Source organism: Homo sapiens, chromosome 13 (assembly GCF_000001405.40).
Source record: "Homo sapiens chromosome 13, GRCh38.p14 Primary Assembly".
Classification (NCBI taxonomy): Eukaryota; Metazoa; Chordata; class Mammalia; order Primates; family Hominidae; genus Homo; species Homo sapiens.
Genome location: NC_000013.11, coordinates 35,866,586 through 35,885,669, shown reverse-complemented (window position 1 = coordinate 35,885,669; position 19,084 = coordinate 35,866,586). Strand labels below are relative to the sequence as shown.

The following is a 19,084-nucleotide window of genomic DNA, read 5'->3' as shown; positions in this document are numbered from 1 at the left end:
TGCCAAACACACATTTGTGCTACCCATCAATTCCCTGAAACAGCTAAGTTTCCTGGCCTCTGTGATTGTGCTTATTTCTTGAAAGTAAAACCTCTTGATTAAATTCTATCCCAGTGAGACTTTGCTCAGGAGTATGTTTACATCACTCTTCTTCAGTATTACTTGATCCCCTTTCAAATAAGCACAGAGCTTCAGCCTGTCATTTATTATGACATTCTGATTACTTTGTTTACACAACAATCTGAATGTTTTGTTCCCGGCCTTACAGTTAGAGTTTTTGTTCTTGGTTTCCCACTTGAATTTTTATTTGTTTATTTATTTATTTTTGTTCTAGTATAGTCTGAAGGGAGAATTTTTTTTTTGTTGTCCCTAAGATGACAGTGCAGGCTCTGAGATGATTTTGATTGGAGAAATAATCTTCCCAAGTCTTGTCTTACCTCATTTACCCAAAGTGGATTCAGGTTGGAGGTCTTTCTCAGGAAAAGGCTTGGCTGACTTCTAGCCAAACACAGATACCTCATTCCTGGTGGACAATCTCTGTTCCCGATCAAGCTTGATGCCCACCTCACAGAACACCTGGACAAGGGTATGTGCCTTTCTGGAAGCTTCCTTTATATAGGAGCCCCTCCTTCTACCAAGAGCCTGGTCCTGTTTTCGCTGACCTGGTGATGACCTGAACAAGGCAGGCTCATCTTGCAAGGTGCTAGAGAATGTCCCTAGCCAAAGTGACCCAAGGTATTGGGCAGCACAGAGGCTGTGGCTTTGTTTTAATGGAATAAGAATGGACCCTATTATAATCTAAACTATGACGAATCATCATCCAAAACAGTACCCTTACCTTCTGTGAATGACACACCTGGAGTTCTTGACTATCATCTCTGTGTGGTCCCCAGAAACTCCAACCATTTCCACTTTCTCAGGGAGCCGCCTCCAGACCACTTGACCTCAACCCACTGGGGCATGTGCTAGAGTAGGTTGAGTATTGGACCACCAAACCGAAATGCATGCTTATCCTTGCTTTTCTGCATGACTGGGATAAAGTCAGGCTTAAAGGAGCCGTACCCAAGGAGACAGTGATCAAATTTTATTTCAGTTCACATTGTTATGCTCTTTTTATTGTTGTTAGTTCCTTTTGTTCCCTTTTCTTTTCTCTTGGAGGAATTCTTATTCATTTTCTAGCTCTCCATTCTTGAGTAATTTATCTATTTCTTGTTTCTTATCTAGCTTTCAGATCCTCCCCGTCTTGTAGCTAATTAAAGCCAGGTGGTCATGAGCTGACAATATATATGAACTCTTGTTCCACTTTCAAAGTCTGCTTTCAACTGGGTCTCAGGATAATAGTTGGTTGTTTTTGCAAATTTGAGTTGGGATAAAAACTGAAGGAGGACAGATATTTGCTGTTTTTTTCAAGACCAGTTTGTCTTGCTAATTTATCTCCTCATGCTTTTAGTTTAGTCTTTTTTTTTTCCAAGTGGCACATTGCACAATTACTTCAAACCCTGAACCTCTGGATTTCCCTTGGTAATTTTCTTATCAATCCACAGGAGAATGGCAAGAGCTGTCTGGTCTGTGGATCCACACCATTGGGATCACATGGGTTTTTAATTTTTTTAAGTGCCCCAGGTTCTACCTCCAATGAGTCTAATATAGTAGGTTCAGGGAAGGGCAGGGAATCTGCATTTTTAAAGAGCTGGGAAGTCTGTCCTTTATCCTAGAGGAAGACTGTAGGCCTTTCTAGACTCTTGGTCTCTCCTGCACTTTGGCACATGAAGCCACTGCACTGTGCAAGGCTGTCAGCAGGACTCACTCGTCAGTACATACACAAGGAGCATATGAGCTGGGATTGCATGTCTACCTGCCCCTATGCAATCCATCCTCAAGCTTTGCGAACTCTATCTCCTCATCATCTCCAAGTCATTGTTTTCTATCCGTTTCTATCACCTCCATCCTAGGCCATGCCACCATCCTTTCTCACCCAGAATAACCACTTTGCAATGTTTCCTCTACACGCCAGCCAGAGTTCCCTTTTAGACTCACAAATCAGACCATACCACTGCTGTCTTAGTCCATTTGTGTTGCTATAAAGGAATACTTGAGGCTGGGTAATTTATAAAGAAAAAAGTTTACTTGGATCACAGTTCTGCAGACTACACAAGAAGCATGACACCAGCATTTGCATCTGCTGAGGGCCTCAAGCTACTTCCACTCATGGTGGAAGGGGAAGGGGAGCTGGTATGTGCAGAGATCACATGGAGAGAGGAGGCAAGGGAGAAGGGAAGGTGCCAGGCTCTTTTTAACAACTAGATGTTGGGAGAACTCTTGCTGGAACTAACAGAGCGAGAACACACTCATTACCTCATGGATGGCACCAAGACATTCTCGAGGGATCCATTCCCATGACCCAGTCACCTCCCATTAGGCCCCGCCTCCCACATGGGGGATCAGATTTCAACATGAGGTTTGGAGGTCAAATATCTAAACTACAACAACTGCCCTTGCTTAAACCCCTCCTAACTTCTCATCTTGCTTAGAGTAAAACCCAAGCCCCTCACTTGGTTGTTTCAATCTTGACTTAATCTGGTGCCTGCTTTCCTCTGTTTCCTTCAGTGTATCCACGGCTGACTTCTTCCTGTGTTCAGAGCTCAGCTTCAACGTCATCAACACCAAGAGACCTTCTCTGACCACCAATATAGAGAAACCACTCACTCAGCCACTCGCTGTCACATCACCCTTTTAATTCTTGGCAAAGTTCTTATAAACTCAGCTCTTGTTCTTGTTTTTGTTTGTTTAAGGCTCATTTCCTCCGCTGGAGTATAAATTCCACAAAAGCAGAGACCCTGTCAACTGATACACTACAGTATCCCGGCACGTAAAACAGCAGAGACTCAGTAAATATTTGCAAAATGTATGAATTTAAGTTGAGTGTGGAGGTATGAACAGAACGTTAACCAGGCAAGGTGGCAGTATTGGGGAATTGTTCCTTTTGCAGGGAAATAAATATTCCAATGCCCAGAGGCAGGAGGTTACTTAGTGCAGTTAAGAAACTAAAATAATGCACCCAAAGAAAAGGGAGACAGAAAGCTGAAGTAGGGAGGGGCCTTACAGGCTACTCTAAGGATATTCTCGAAGAGCAACAAAGAGTCCTAGAAGGGTTCTAAGCAGTGGAGCAACAATAGATTTCCTGATAAAAATGCTCAAGAGAGGCTGGTATCAAAGTGATGTCATACATATTGTAGCAGGCTAAATAGTAGTCACTGAAAGGTTTCAATGTGTAAATGTGACCTTATTTGGAAAAAGGTCTCTACAGGTTTAATTAAGTTAAGGGTCTTGAGATGAGGGGATTATCTTGGGTTATTCTGGTGGGAACCAAAATCCTATCACAAATGTCCACCTAAGAAAGAGGTCAAGGAAATAACACAGACACACAGAGAAGTCCATGTAAAGATGGAGGCAGAGATTTGAGTAATGTGGCCACAAGCTAAGGAATGCCTGGAGTCACCAGAAACTATAAGCGACAAGGAACGGATTCCATTCTAGAGCTTTTGGAGAGACTCCAGACCTGCCAACACCTTGATTTCAGACTTCTGGCCTCTAGAATTGTGAGCAAATATATTTTGGTCATTTTAAGCCATGAAGTTTGTTGTAATTTGTTATGGCAACTAAAGCATACACTTTGGAAAAAAGATAAAGAGAAATCAAAATTCAGATGTGCACCATTATGCGCATGAGTCCATCCAATGAGTGTAGGCCCAGCGTTAGCATGAGATTGGAGATGTTCACCTGCTGTTTCCACAGTCAACCTTCTTTCCCTTGTGAACTGTTATCATGATTCTAGAAGATAAAGGTGGGCCTATTTCACACGACATGCCCCTCAACTGAAGTTAGCTGCTTTGTTTTATGGTCAGCTCAAGAAATGGTGTCTATCCAAGTGCCAGAGGACAGACTGGCAGGGAGACAGGGTGGCACTCTCCAAGGTGTCACAAGGAATAAATGTGGCCACAAGGAACTGGATGTATGAGTAACAGAAAGAGAAATGTACCGAGCCATAGTGCCAAGTGCTGCAGTCAGCTAAGGGAGAGCCATGTGTGCTGTGCAAATCAGTGAAGACCAACCAAATGAGAACAAACTAAGGCTATTTATTCAGAGCTTGCTATAGCAAGGAGTCAGCCAACATCATCTGCATTTTGGCAGGGACTCAAAGGCAGGCAGAGGAGTAGGAGTGCTTTAGAGAAGAAAAAAAGGGAAGGCTTTCCCTGCACCCTGATGGAAGCAGTTGGTATGGGGAAGATGTAGGCAAGCTAACCAGAAGTGGGGCACTCTACGGGATTGGTTAGAGGCGCACATTTCACCCTTTCTAGTTGGTGCTAAGTTGGAAGTGCAAACAAAAATTAGGGATGCTGTCACTTATTAAGTCCTGGCTAATTTAAGGTCAATTGTTACAAGGGTTATTGTTTGGCTTCCTGGAATGTTACTAGAGCTAGACCATTGTAATTTGTTATTGATTTTTCTGCAAGTCTGACTTAGAGTGTGCTACCTTCTGGTAGGCTGTCATAGAAAGGGGGTTTTTCCCCGGCATGTTGCTGCAGGTCGTGAGCCAGAGTTGTGTTTTGTTATATGGTCTGGCCATTGTTCATCTGTATATTCAGTCTCTCAAGGTGATCAGACATCAGTAAAGACTAAGAGGGCATTGTATTTCGGCTGAACAATGTGGAACATATGACATGTGGGAGAACAGGCCCTTGGCATCTTTGATTTATTCAAATCTCTCACTGAAGACACATGGGTTTTTTATGAGAAGAAGCTCAGAGCCAGCCAAAGTGGAGCTTCTCAATTTTAATAACTGCTTTACTTTCAAAAAGGTCAAGATTTGGTGAAGCTTCACTGGCCAATGAAAAGGCAGCAGACCCTGAGCAAAGCCCAGCTGGGAACCCATGGCAGAGAAAAAACAGATGCCTTCTGGGACACGTTTTAATGCCAATGAGGTTGGGTTCTTATGGGGAAAGCAAATGTACCAACTACACTTGCATTTAGGATTCAGAAAGATAAGACCCCAACTGCAAATCAGCAAAAGGGGTACATGTTTGTGTTTTTGAGGCAATACTGCCAGGCTTAATGACTAAGGTTGAAAATCCCCACATCTCAATAGGTAAGAAAAGCATAATCTCTTGCATCGTACTTGCATTCAATCCAAAATAGTGAGGAACACCATTTTGGAGTTGTTTCCAAAGGGTCATTGTAGGGGTCAAGTGGTACCTGGAAGGGAAAGAACCTTACCTAGAGGGCAGCCTGATCACGGGCCATGCTTGTGGCCCTTCTGCAACACTCGGGTTCGCACACAGCAATGTGGAAGTCTCTTTCTCTAACCTCTGCCCCATGACATTCTTTATCCTCCAGACTCTCAGCTAAGAAACCAAGACCCCATGTTCCCATATTCTCAGGATGGTTAAGCAATGGGTACTAATCCAATTTTAACAGACTATTGGAAGACCTTCAGCATTGTCAGTTGCATCAACTACACTACAGTGTAAAGCCCGAAACTCAGTTTATGTCTGCCAGACCTGCAGAAAGAGTATACGAATGCATTGTTTAGAGACTCAAGCAGGTGGTTGGTGACGGTTTCATTAACAGCGTGGAGGAAGAATGTAAGAGTTAATTGAGGGCCCCTCTGGGAAACATTGCCTAATGAAGACATTGGCAGTGGTTCTCTACCAGGGGTAATATGCCCTCAGAGGACATTTGGGAATGTGTGGGGACGTTTTTGGTCACATAACTAGGGAAGCTACTGGCATCTAGTGGCACTGGCATCTAGTGGGTGAGGCCAAGGACACCACTAGCAACTGGCACAAAAAAGTGCAAATGACATGTGGGAAAAAGGAAAGATCAGTATTCATTTCAGGAAATTAAGTTCTGGTAGAACAAGGAACAGATCAGCTTTTCATGCCCGGTGTCTGCAAACCTTCCTCTTTTTCTGCTTTCCCCCGGGGTTGAAACTCAGACAAGGCAACATAAACCAACTGGGACCCTTGTGGATGAGAACACTCAGGTTTGACAGAGATAAGATAGTAGGAACTTGGGTTACCAAGCAATCTCCCGGAGCTAAACCGCCTATCCCTCAGGACACCTGCAGACCTCTGCACTGTTATGTAGGAAAAGATGAACTTTTCTCTTATGTGACTGTTAGGGAAAAGGAAAGGGTTTGGAAAGGAGAATCATTCATACTATCAGAACAGTAGATCTGAGCTGTGACTCTTGAGATGTTAATACAGAAAATCCCAGTGCCATAAAGCCTTCTGCAGATGTTACATAAGGTTTCTGCTCCCAGCAGTGCCTCTAGAGCCCCGTGCAGGTGGAGGAACACGTGGGCGCCATCTGGAGCACTGAGCTGGGTGTTCTGGAAGTTGTGGTGGACCAGTGGAAGTGCTGGTTTAAACATACCTCCCTGTATTTTTAGAAGGTACTTTTAAAATCTTAGTTTCCGGGACTTTACTCTCCAGTTAAGTTACTCCAGCTGATGCCTTTGTCTCCAATTCAGTCTGTCCCATGCCTTCTTTTTCACTTTTGTGTTTTATATATTTTTTAATTTTTGGCCCGGTGTGGTGGCCATGCCTATAATCCCAGCACTTTGGGAGGCCAAGGTGGGCAGATCACCTAAGGTCAGGAGTTCGAGCCCAGCCTGGCCAACATGGTGAAACCCCATCTCTACTAATAATACAAAAATCAGCTGGGCATGGCAGTGTGTGCCTGTAATCCCAGTGGCTCAGGAGGCTGAGGCAGGAGAATCACCTGAACCTGGGAGGCAGAGGTTGCAGTGAGCCAAGATTGTGCCACTGTACTCTGGCCTGGGCGACAGAACAAGACTATCTCAAAAAAAAAAAATGTAATTTTTATGGTTACATAGTAAGTGTATGTATTTATGGAGTACATGAGATATTTTGATACAGGCATATAATGCATAATAATCACATCAGGGTAAATGGGGTATCCATCACCTCAAACATTTATTCCAATTATACTCTTTTAGTTATTTTTAAGTATACAATTAAATTATTCTTCATTGTAGTCACCCTGTTGTGCTATCAAATACTAGATCTTATTCATTTTTTCTAATTATTTTTTGTACCCATTAACCATCCCCATTTCCCCCCCACTGCAATGCTTTGTTTTTAAAAGCTGTATTTTAGAGTGTTTTGATCTTGATTGCTTTTATTCCAGACGTGCTGCGTGTGGAGCTTGGGGAAGCAGCAGTTATTTCAAACCCCACAGGCAGTAGGATGGGAGTCTTACCATGGTGTCAGGGTTCACTCAGAAAACGGGTGGAGTAGAAGAAACCAGATGGGCCTCAGTTCTTACTAGATGCAGGCCCATCCTTTCCTCAAGAAGCCTACATGTGGATTTTCCTGTAATGCTGCTGCGAAGTATGAAAATCATAACATTTCTATAGAAAGTAAATTTTAGTTGTCCATTATACCAGGATGGCTTTGTTCAGCTCAACCAGGCAGACAAGCTGGAGACTGAGGATGGAGACTGAGATTCAAAACCATGAGGCAGGAGGTGGTGAATCTCCCAGGCACTGGGGGTGCTCAGAAGGAAGCTGGACCACCACTTAGTTGGAATGGAGACAGGAGGAGAGAATATTCCTGAGTTAAGGAGAGAGTTGACTCATTAACCATTGACAGCCTTGATATTCTAGGAGGGCGCCTCCCAAGGGGAGGGAAGTGAACATGTAGGGGCAACTTATTGGAGAATTGGAGAATCAGAATTGCAAGTTCTTTTTGTCATTGACTTTGTGCCATTTTTATAAAATGCCTCTGGAACTGAATGTGCTTCCTCACTCTCTTTTGCATATAGCAACAGAGAGGAATATTATTCCATTTACAGGCTTTGTACCTTTGCCAAATTAAGAGGAAGCTTGCCTTTGTAATCAGGGTATGGTAGAAAGCACAAAGCATCTACTGCTTATGATGGTTTCTTCTAGATGAACTTGTCCATTTCCTGAACAATTCAGAAAACTGAATTTAGAGTTGAGATATATTAAGAGGCCTCTGCCTAAGAGTGCTTTTATGCTGGTTGGTTTCAAAAAAGAGACTAGAAAAGTAAAACCATTTCTTGTTCAAAGAGTATTCCCTAGCCAACATGCAGCATGTCACCAAGGCTGTCTAGACACTCAAGGGACTTCACCTATGCCTTGTTCAAGATTCTCCAGAAGGTCTAAGTAGGCCCCTTTGAATGCATGATCACTATGTGAGCTCAGGTGAGCCACTGGTGTCTTTGGTGGAATTCTGCAACCGTTTCTATTCTTCAGCACCTTCTATAACACTTCAGCCTACCTACCAACTGTTTCTGAGTGGGGGGAGGATCTTTCTAAGTGGAGGTTCTCCTGCCACCGGGAATGTGGCCAAAGAATATGTTCCACCTCCTCCTTATACATCACCATCTGGGCTGTCTCTCTAAATCTGTCCATCAAAGAATGCCCATTTCAGGAGTTCATGTCCTGGGTGAAGGTGAGAAACATTTAACTTCTATAAATCCCCAAAACATTTGTATAGATCGTGTGGGGAATGATACTTTTCACCTCAGATGAATGTAGGGACTAAATAGAGCAGAGATTTAATTCAATGTTGCTTACTTGCTTGCCTGCTGTGGGAGGTTCAGTCATCAGAGAACCAGTTCATGAGTTTGGTCTGATTTCCTGTCCTTTGGGTAGGCTGCAATCTTTAGGAGCAAGAGAAATTACCATCTGTTAGCTTCCTTCAAGTGGCTTACCTACAGTCCTTCGGTGTCATCTTTCTTAAGGAGAGTCTGGGTCATCCAGTTTCTCCACCACCAAAGGAAATACAGTCCTCTTAGAGAATTGGTCAGTGAAATATAGGGGTGCCAAGAAACATCAGAGTAAAGAAGTGATGGCCCCCAAAGGCAAATGCCCCCATGTGAGAGGGGGAATGGAAGGCACTGCTTTCTTCCTTGCCTGAGGCTATGAAAATGTCCTTTGTGTCAACAAAAAGGTTTTCTACATTACTGGCCATTTAGGTCATATTATTCACAATGTTTCAAAATTGTGGTTATCAGCTGATGTAGATTTTGGCATTCTCTCTGAAGCCATGCAGCATTTGTTCCTCACTGCATTTTCACCATTATAAAATACAATTCCTATTTAAATTAATTAAAACATGGAAAATCTAAACTTTATTTGGAAAGATGGTTGGAGTTTTTGTTTTTGTTTTTTATAATTTACGGCTTGGCACTGCAATATTCTTCAGCTGGATTTATGTTGACCCATTTTAGAAAACGTAGTTACTATAAATCTGTTGTTGTTGTTTCTGTTTTTGTTATTCAACCCAAGCCTTTGGAATTATTCTAATCCACAATATGACTCATGAAGTATCACTCTTATCCTTAAGGCAAGTGGTCCAAGAGTTGAAATATTTGTAATTATCTTTCAGACTCCATGATCCTCCAAGCTATTACTTCATTATAACTCCATTTCTGAAAGACAGTTTGTTTCTCTTTTTTTCTGATATACTAAACATTTGATAGACAGGTAGCTTTCATATCTTGAATTTCTTATTTAATGTTGATATGAGAACAGTTGCTTGCAGTTCTTCCCCTGATGCACCATCACCCATTTGTCTGCCCCTGACCATGGACACCGATAGACATTTCCCAGGCTTTCGTCACCATGGAACAGCTTGCTTAGGCCACAGCATCAGATACTGGGGGTAGTGAGGAAGCCACCAACCCAAGAGAGTTGGGTTCTGATGCAAGTCATTTCATCTCTCTGAGACTCAGTTTTCTTGGGTGTACAATGAGAGTTTGGGTTAGTTCAGTGAATACCAAGAGTTCACACAAGTAGTAACAGGATCAGCAGCAATTTGGGCCGATATTTATCGAGCAGCTACTTCATGCTTTTTAATATGGCAGGGACTAGTTAGTATCCAATGGAGTATGGGAGTGGGGAGACGGACTAATAAATGAATAATTCTGACTGATTAATAATATGGTGAGAACTCAGTTCAGGAGAAGCAAGGGAAGCTTTGGAAGCATGATAAGAGGCCACAAGTTTTTCCAATATTTCAAAAACTTAATGAAATACCTACATTTCTTCTGATAAGAAGAGCTGCCTCACAGAAATACCAAGTTTCTTTTTGGTACTTGGAAAAGTGTCAACTGAGTGTGGTAAGATTGGTTCTATTATGGTGTCCTGGATTGCTGGTTGGTAGTTATAGCCACAGCTAGCAACTCTGGCACCTGTGCCAAACAGCATGCCATGAACCCTAAAACCAACTTTTAAATTCACATTGTGGATCACAGATGGATATTATGAACAATGTGTACCATCTGTTAGCTTTCTATCTTAACTATTCATTCTTGCTAACTAGATGCTGAGCTTTTAAAATCATTGTTTTAAATTTATGTGACCTCTGAATGTTCATAACCTGGGACAAAAAGTTCTGGTCATCTGCCCTCATGATCATCTTGATTTTTATTTAAAATGAGAAAATTGAATGTTACTTAACAACAATGTGTTGCATAAACTAACATTTTTCAAACATGAGGTCCATGAAATAAAAATTAGCAAAAAGAGGCCTCACTGGTGAAAAGACTCTATGCACCATTACCAGATGGTAAAGGTTTTGAGTTCCAAAACTTTGTATTGTTCTCCATCATGCCTGCAGCTCTCGATGCTTGGCACGTAGTGGCCACGTGATAAAAATGTACGAGGAAGCATGCCAATGGGCCGGCGACATTGTGGCATTCCAGTTTGGTTGCTAGTGTACTTCCAAAAGGCTAGGCAGAGGCCAAAGCTAGGACAAACTCCAGGATGTGTTGTCAGTTGCATGGTCAGAGCCATGAGCTAATCTGAGATCTCCTTGGCACGTTCCAAAGCTCTGTTTTGCGAATCAAAATCTCCACGGACACCTTGGGCGTTATTGTCCCATGGGAACGGTCCTGGTTTTCCTATTGTATTTTCTGACGTTGTTAATGTTGTTTCTTGGTTACTCCTATCTTTTAATTTTTGTCAATATTCCTGTATGTATAGATTTTTTTCTTTTTTTTAAAAAACAGAAATATCTTGCAGGGTCACTGGGCAGGCCAGAACAGTGACAGTGGCCCAAGTAACTGTTGGGGAAGACTGGGCAGGCTCTGTAATGCCTTGATTCATTTCTCTTTGCTTTGGGCTATGAAAACAAGTGGAGGAAGAAGAAATATCACAAGGCAGAATTTGCTTCCTCTTCTTTTTTAATATTCCCTCTTCTTTTCCCCCATTTCAATTCATGAGACTCTCTAGGACACACTCTCCTCCATGACTTATCTCCTGTTTGTAGTCTTATAACATCTGTATTTCATATAAACTCACATCTTTTCTTACTAAACAATTTAAACTACTTTGTTAGTTTAGATGTTAGAAAAAAATAGGAAACGATGTTTATATAAAGCAATTCAGAATATATAAGAGAGAGAAACATGTTTTGAATTTAGAAAATTAGAAATTGCGTGGATAGGGAAGAAAAATTTTGAAGTCAGGCATCAGAATGAGATCTGGAATGATTATGAGTTCTTTGTTACTAAAGCGTAAAATGGGATTTAAAATATATAATGGAAAAGTTAAAGTAGTTTAATTTAAAACTACTATACTAAAAAGGTTCACCACATTTGAAAAGCTAACATATTTCAACAACTACCTACAATGATAAATATTTATAACATGATAGACTAAGTGTTAAACTTTCATATAGAATGCACTCTTACAAACCAATAAGAGAAAGTAGGACATAAATAAGTAATTGCAAAAGAAGAAATCCAAATGGCTAATATGCGTGTGGGAAAAATGTACAACTTTACTGGCAATCAAACCAATTCAGATTTCAAGAAAGGAAATCCAATATTTGTTTAGAAATTGGCAAAGATTTTTTGAAAATGTAATACCTAACCTCAGTGAGGGACCCAGCAAATGACCACTCATTGTCTATAAAAGTACAATTTGAGGCCGGGCATGGTGGCTCACACCTGTAATCCCAGCACTTTGGGAGGCTGAGGTGGGTGGATCATTTGAGGTCAGGAGTTTGAAACCAGCCTGGCCAACATGATGAAACCCCACCTCTACTAAAAATACAAAAATTAGCCAGGCATGGTGGTGGGCACCCTGTAGTCCCAGCTACTTGGGAGGCTGAGGCAGGAGAATCTCTTGAACTCGGGAGGTGGAGGTTGCAGTGACCCGAGATCACGCCACTGCACTCCAGCCTGGGCAACAAGAGCGAGACTCTGTCTTGAGGGGAAAAAAAAAAGTACAATTTGTTGGACTTTCTGGAGGGCATCATTCAGAGCTTTTAAGAAGTTCTCTTTGAACTCACCAAATCCACTTTGTTCAGCAAATTTTTTAATTTTAATTTTTTTATTTTTATTTATTTATGTTTTTGGGATCTTGGCTCACTGCAGCCTCTGCCTTCCAGATTCAAGTGATTCTCCTGCCTTAGCCTCCCGAGTAGCTGGGATTACTGGCGCCCACCACCATACCCGGCTAATTTTTGTATTTTTAGTAGAGGCAGGGTTTCACCATGTTGGCCCGGCTTGTCTCTAAAATTTTTTATTTAAGTTGGAAAATATAAAGAAGAAATTAGAATATAAGGAGTGACCTGACTTTCTATCAATAGGGGAATGATTGAATAAGTTGTGATATAAACATATTACAAAATATGATGCAGGGTTTAGAAAAACAGTTTTGATTGCTATGGGTTGACCAAGAAAGATGATTATAATATATAAGTATGGAAAATGTATAAAATATGTCGCTATCTTGCCATTTTTATAAAAAGCAAACAAAAACCTGGCTATGTATATATGTGTTTATATAAGCTTAGAAAAGCTATGGTAAGGTCCTTACACTATTAAAAATGTTAGTGATATTGAAGGGGAAAGAACAATATCACAAAGGTAGTGATATTGAAGGGGAAAGAACAAATAGCTATTGCTATTTTTTAAATTTTGAATTTATAATTTTTTAAAAAGAAAAGGGTCGGTAAATATTTTTGAGCACCCACAGTGTGCCCTTGGTTTCTGGCTACTAGAAACTAAATGTCAAGTGCCAGGGACTAAATCTGTCCTAAGGGAGTGATAGGATAACTGCACACTCATTTACAAAGGTGTCATTGAGTAATTATTTATAACAGTGAAATACTGAAAGCAAGTTAGATATTCAATAGTTGGAATTCGGTTAAGTAAATTATGGTATTCCATGCAGTCAGATGCTCAACAGCCATTAAATAACAGAGTGAAAATGCTCACAAGATACTGTATTGTGAAAAGGGTTGGTAACAGATCAACACATATGAACAAATCCTAATGCTGAAATATATAAATGCATAGACAAAAATTCTAGAAGTTTCTATACCCCCCTCCAAAAATAAAGTATCATTTGATCATGGGTTATTGGGGGTGTTTTAAAATATGCCTTATATTTTTCCATCTACAGTGAACATTGATTATCCTTACAAGCATATATTTTTTTGTTAATTATTAGAAGCAGTTTCTTAAGAACAAGATATGTGGGTTTGTACAGCATCATAATTGGTCAAGGGAGCTCACTAAGAGAGAAATAGAAAACTCTCTGCCATTTAAGATGTTCAGCATTGAATATAATGGACATGAACACTGAGAATTTAAATCTAATGAAAGTGAAGTTGTTTCTTATCCTCAAGCCACAAACCATTTCACAGACACAGTATAAAATCTGTGGCAGCTTCATGTGGTGGCACAGGCTGGCAGGATGCCCTTGCAGCAGGGAAATACCACCTCTTCACCAGTTTTACCTCTTCCAAGCAAATGCTGTCATCTCCCACATATCATAAAGACCCACAACTATCTCCGTGAGGACCCATGGCAATAAACTTGGTCCTGTTGTGGTGGGCGGAATCTTCCACCACCACATTTCTTGGTTTATGAGGTTGACCTTTCTTCTAACATTTTCCTTGGAAGCAACAACAGTTTATCCCAAGAGACCCACATATACAGATAACTCAAGGAGTGAGTAGAGAGAAACCCAACAAAACACCTCTTTATTAGCCTATATCACTCCCAATCTAGCCAAAATATTATTGTAAGGAGTGTAACCTAGGGGGATTGAAGTATTATTTACTTCCATGTCTAAGAAGCCCACCCTGTCCTTCCTCTTTGTTTTCTTGGTTTCATTGACATAGACAAGAACCCAGCTGGTGGGAAGTAGATGTGACTGAGGATGGTCATATATTTCTACTTCCAGGTTTATTGTGCATTTTGAGTTGGTGTGTGTGTGCCATTACCCCATAATGATGTGTGGTTTTTGTTCTTTCCCCAGAATGTCGAGTGGTAAAGTCCACTTCTTACACCAAAATAGCTTCATCATCCCGCAGGAGCACCACCAAGAGCCCAGGACCGTCCAGGCGTAGCAAGTCCCCTGCCTCCACCAGCTCAGGTAAAGCAGCAGAGGGGATTTTGAAGAAATTGCCTTGTTCCTGACACAGGATGAGCAGAGGGTGTGTGAAGCCTAGAGTGTGAGGTTTTTAAGCGAGTGTAGGTTCCGGTTTATAATTTTAGAACATCTTAGAGCGGTTGAACAGATTTGCTGGAGTCTAGCATATTGGCTGCAAGAAAAAGCATTGAGCTTCAAAAAATGTACTTAGTGAGGACTCAGGAAACCCAGATTTGCCCACAAATAGAAGAACGTTATCATCTTGTATCCTTTCTACCACCAAAGTTAATCTTTCAGATTCTGGAAGTCTCTGTTAAAGCATTTATTCTACCTGAGACTGGCCTATGAAGAGTTTCCCATTTGTATTCGCTGAACCTTTATTAAACACACTTTTGGCTCTGGCCTCAGTTTCCTTTCATGGCTCTGGAGCTAAAGGTAGTGAGATTGAGAGGGTGGAGCAGGGATTGCTGCAGTGACCTTGGCCTGAGCCTGTCTCTCAGTGGATTCTAGTGCTGGTGTTGGAGAGGCTGTGTATGCACAAGATGAGCACCTCAACCCTACCTTCTCCTTTTTGGTCTTAAAACTGACATGAAGTCAGTTAGAAAGTGTCTTCTTTGTTTGTCTCAGGTGAAGGGTCTCTATTGTTATTAAAGGGAATTATTTATTAAATGACACAAATTGTATTGGGAATTATTAAACGATGCAAATGTCAAAGTGATTGTTACCTGATTTCATGAAGACAAGAAGCTCTTATAAATAAGAATAAAGACCTCTGGGGCCTACTTGGGGGCCTTCTTTTACTCAACAGCATGGGCTAGGGGGAGTGTGAAAAGAGCTCTCGGCTGAGGCTGCCTAAGAAGGAACTCTCAATAGGGTGGATCATTATAGGTCAGGGGCCAGCTAGACCACCCAGCCCTCCTTGATTCTCTAAGAGTCTCCTTCCCCTTGGAGTTTTACCAATTACTGCTATTCTCTAGACAGATCTCCAAAGACCACCTTCCCCTCTGACTCTCAACCTAGGGTGGCATCAATGGGCTGCCAATGCCTCCTTCCCACAGCATGGCCTGCATCATAGCCAGTCAGGAAATACGTTTCAGAGCATCGCTGGCACTTGAGATGCATCTTGTTTGCCTCTGTAGTTTAAAGGTGAGCTGAGAACTCCTCCCTTAGTATGACACTGCTCATGTAGATAGGATAGAGCCCTAAAATGAGGCATTGCTAAAGGATGAGACAGTAGACTCAAAGCTTAGAGCTCATGAGAGTCACTTGGGAACTTGGCAAAGTTTGTCATCCTGAACCCCCACACCCTGAGATTCTGACTAAGGACCTAAACCTGTGTTTCAGCAAGTACTCCAGGTGATTAGGATCGGGTAGTCTGTGGTCCACATTTTGAGAAACAGTAGGTGAGGGCAGTGGTTCTCAAACTAGCAGCATCACCATCACCTGAGCACTTGTTAGAACTACAAAGCCCTGAGCTCCCTCTCCAGAACCACTGAATCAGAAACTCTGGAGCTAGAGCCCAGCAAATTGGAATTTCCCAAGCCCTCCAGCTGATTCCAATGCACACTTTGAGAAGCAGGGGGTTTTGGAAAACAGAAAGGAAGTAAATGCAGAAAACATTTGACTCTGGATAATCTGGAGGGAAAGATATGACTTGTTCATCTTCATTTACTGGCATGACAGAGATGACTTCCTTTCTACCTCCCTGTTTGCCTCCAAGTAGCAATGTCCATCAGTGTCCTTGCAATCCAAGAGCAGACCTTTTAGATACCTTGATGTGTAGACCAAAAGAGCAATGAACAAAGGAGAGTACCAGATGCCAACTTCCTTTTCTCCCTCCTTGCAATGACCTGGCCTCAGAGAGTCAGTCACCTGGGAGAAAAGAGAATTTCTTTCTGAAGATGATCCCTTCCCCAGGATGTCAGGGAAAGTCTCTCCCTTCAAGGGAGATACCACCCACACACAGAGAAGAGGACCTCCACAGAATGACAGAGTGATCCTGGAATTGCTGCATGGAAAACTCCCCTGGAAGAACTGAGCTTGTCCAGCTGACAGGTTAATATTGAGCTCTGTGGAGGATGTTCAGTCTTAACTAAAAAACATTTCTCACTTTCTCTGATTAAATCTGGGCTATAGGCCCGGGCCTGGTGGCTCATACCTGTAATCCCAGAACTTTGGGAGGTTGATGGGGGTGGATCACTTGAGGTCAGGAGTTTGAGACCAGCCTGGCCAATGTAGTGAAACCCCATCTCTACTAAAAATACAAAAATTAGCCAGGCATGGTGGTGGGTGCCTGTAATCCTAGCTACTCAGGAGGCTGAGGCAGGAGAATCGCTTGAACCTTGAGGGGCAGAGGTTGCAGTGAGCAGAAATCACGCCACTGCACTCCAGCCTGGATGACAGAGCAAGACACTGTCTCAAAACAAATAATAAAGAAATAAATAAATCTGGGCTATAGGGTGAACTCCCATGGAGCAATAAAGGAGAACAAAGTCATAAGCCTAGCCAGCTTATTGCCCCTAAAATTTTGGCTACTTAATGCAATCACAGAAGGATGTGAAAGAGAATGAGAGCCTATATTAATGAAACCGTATCAATTAGTATATTAATGAATTAATGAATAGTATCAATACTATTAAAAATCATCAATATTAAAAAACAAAATTAGTTCTCCATCCAAACCAACTTTGACTTAAATTTTACTTAACCTTTCCTATCTTCTTCCTCTCAGTATATAAGATGAATAAAAAAACAAGTGTGGGGCAGATGCATCTAATAATGGGTAATTAGCCAAATTCTTATGTGTTTTATATTACAGATATTCCAAGAAAATCAATATGCACTGCAGCTTTTAACTTTTTATTGTCATTGTTTTTAGCAGTTTTGTTGTTAAGAGCTGTAGGTTGGGCCAGGTGCGGTGGCTCACGCCTGTAATCCCAGCACTTTGGGAGGCTGAGGCAGGCGGATCATGAGGTCAGGAGATCGAGACCATCCTGGCTAACACAGTGAAACCTGTCTCTACTAAAAATACAAAAAATTAGCCGGGCGTGGTGGCAGGCGCCTGTAGTCCCAGCTACTCGGGAGGCTGAGGCAGGAGAATGGCGTGAACCCGGGAGGTGGAGCTTGCAGTGAGCGGAGATGGTGCCACTGCACTCCAGCCTGGGCAACAGAGCAAGACTCCATCTCAAAAAAAAAAAAAAAAAAGAGCTGTAGGTTGTTAGATACTCTAGATACTCCAGGGTTTAGGGTCTTTCTTTTTCTCTTTCTTTCTTTCTTTCTTTCTTTCTTTCTTTCTTTCTTTCTTTCTTTCTTTCTTTTTCTTTCTTTCTCTCTTTCTCTCTCTCTCTCCCTCTCTCTTTCTTTCTTTCTTTCTTTCTTCTCCCTTTAAGTCAATAAAGATGGGGAATGGATCAGATTCTTGCGTACATGTTAAAGAATGGACTGATGAGTCTAATCTTAAAAATATAATTATGCATATAGGCAATAATTTCATTTTATAATTAACTGGTAATGTAATCACTATTCAGCATTGTAAGAATTTATATTCATTTCTGAAAAGTAATTTTGGAAACTCAAGAAGATAGGCGAATATATTAAATGTACTTGTATGTCACTGCCAACATTTGTAATTATTCCTTTTAGAAGTTTAAAATGGGTAGGACACATTGCCTCAAAATCAACAGGTTGCTCCAAACAAGCATTTCCACATTCTATTTTTTCCTTGAAGTCCTTTTCAACTCTAGTTGAAACCTGGTTGAATTGACCAGCACTAACTTGGAATTTGTGATAGGTAAGTCATACCAAGTAGTATCATTTTCATAAAGAAAGTAGAGTCCAAATTCATTCTAAAATTAATATGTTCTTGAAAAATTAGCACTTTAACTTCTAGGTCAAAGTTAATTATATAACACTGATCATATTTTGTTTAATGTGAGCTTTTTGTGTATATAAAATTTTCAACTTGCTGCATTTTGACCTGGAAGAGATAACATGCAATCATTTTCTGATTATATAAGAGATTACTATATGCACTGACTATCTCTTGATTCTGACTTGCTACCAAAAGTGACTTGTTACCACTTTCCTTTGGATGGTACCAATTTAGAGAGTTTCACAGGGCAGTCAACTCCCAGTCACAAATGTGTGGATTGTGCCAGTGACCTCAGGACCACCTCCTTTCCCTGGAACCGGGCCCAGAGGTTAAGGAATTCGGCAGTGTTGCCAGTTCTCCTAGAGGCAAGTGTAGCTGCTGGATGTCAGGGAAACCCCTCTCTCAGGGCCCCTCCACTGCTCTGGCCCAGGTCTCCTGTCCCTACTCAACTATAGCTCTTGGAACTAGTGGAAAGGCACGTTGAATTGTCTCTATATGGATTACATCACATTTTCTTAAAATAGCCTGTTTAGTGTTTTTCATTAATCATATGGACTCAAACATGAATTTTACTTAAATACTCCATAAACATTGGTATTGCCCCAAACCCAACTACCACCTGATTTTTTAATGTTAAAGCATCTTTAGACTGGGTGTGGTGGCTCATGCCTGTAATCCCAGCACTTTGGGAGGCCAAGGCAGGCTGGTGAAACCTGGTCTCTAAAAAAAAAAAAAAAAATACAAAAATTAGCCTGGAATGATGGTTGCTT

General features: G+C 41.4%; 1 protein-coding gene and 1 long non-coding RNA gene across 8 annotated transcripts in view; one reads left to right on the top strand and one right to left on the bottom strand.

Moving 5' to 3' along the window:
* Positions 1 to 19,084, top strand: part of DCLK1 (doublecortin like kinase 1) — a 363,288-nt gene that overhangs the window by 246,270 nt on the left and 97,934 nt on the right. For all 6 annotated transcript variants that reach the window (NM_001330072.2, NM_001330071.2, NM_004734.5 and 3 more), the window contains exon 5: positions 14,330 to 14,446. In NM_001330072.2, coding sequence (NP_001317001.1) covers positions 14,330 to 14,446 — 117 coding nt within the window. The remainder of the gene's footprint in view (positions 1 to 14,329; positions 14,447 to 19,084) is intronic.
* The window catches only part of LOC105370163 (uncharacterized), a 45,346-nt gene that overhangs the window by 17,741 nt on the left and 8,521 nt on the right, over positions 1 to 19,084 (bottom strand). The window lies entirely within an intron of this gene.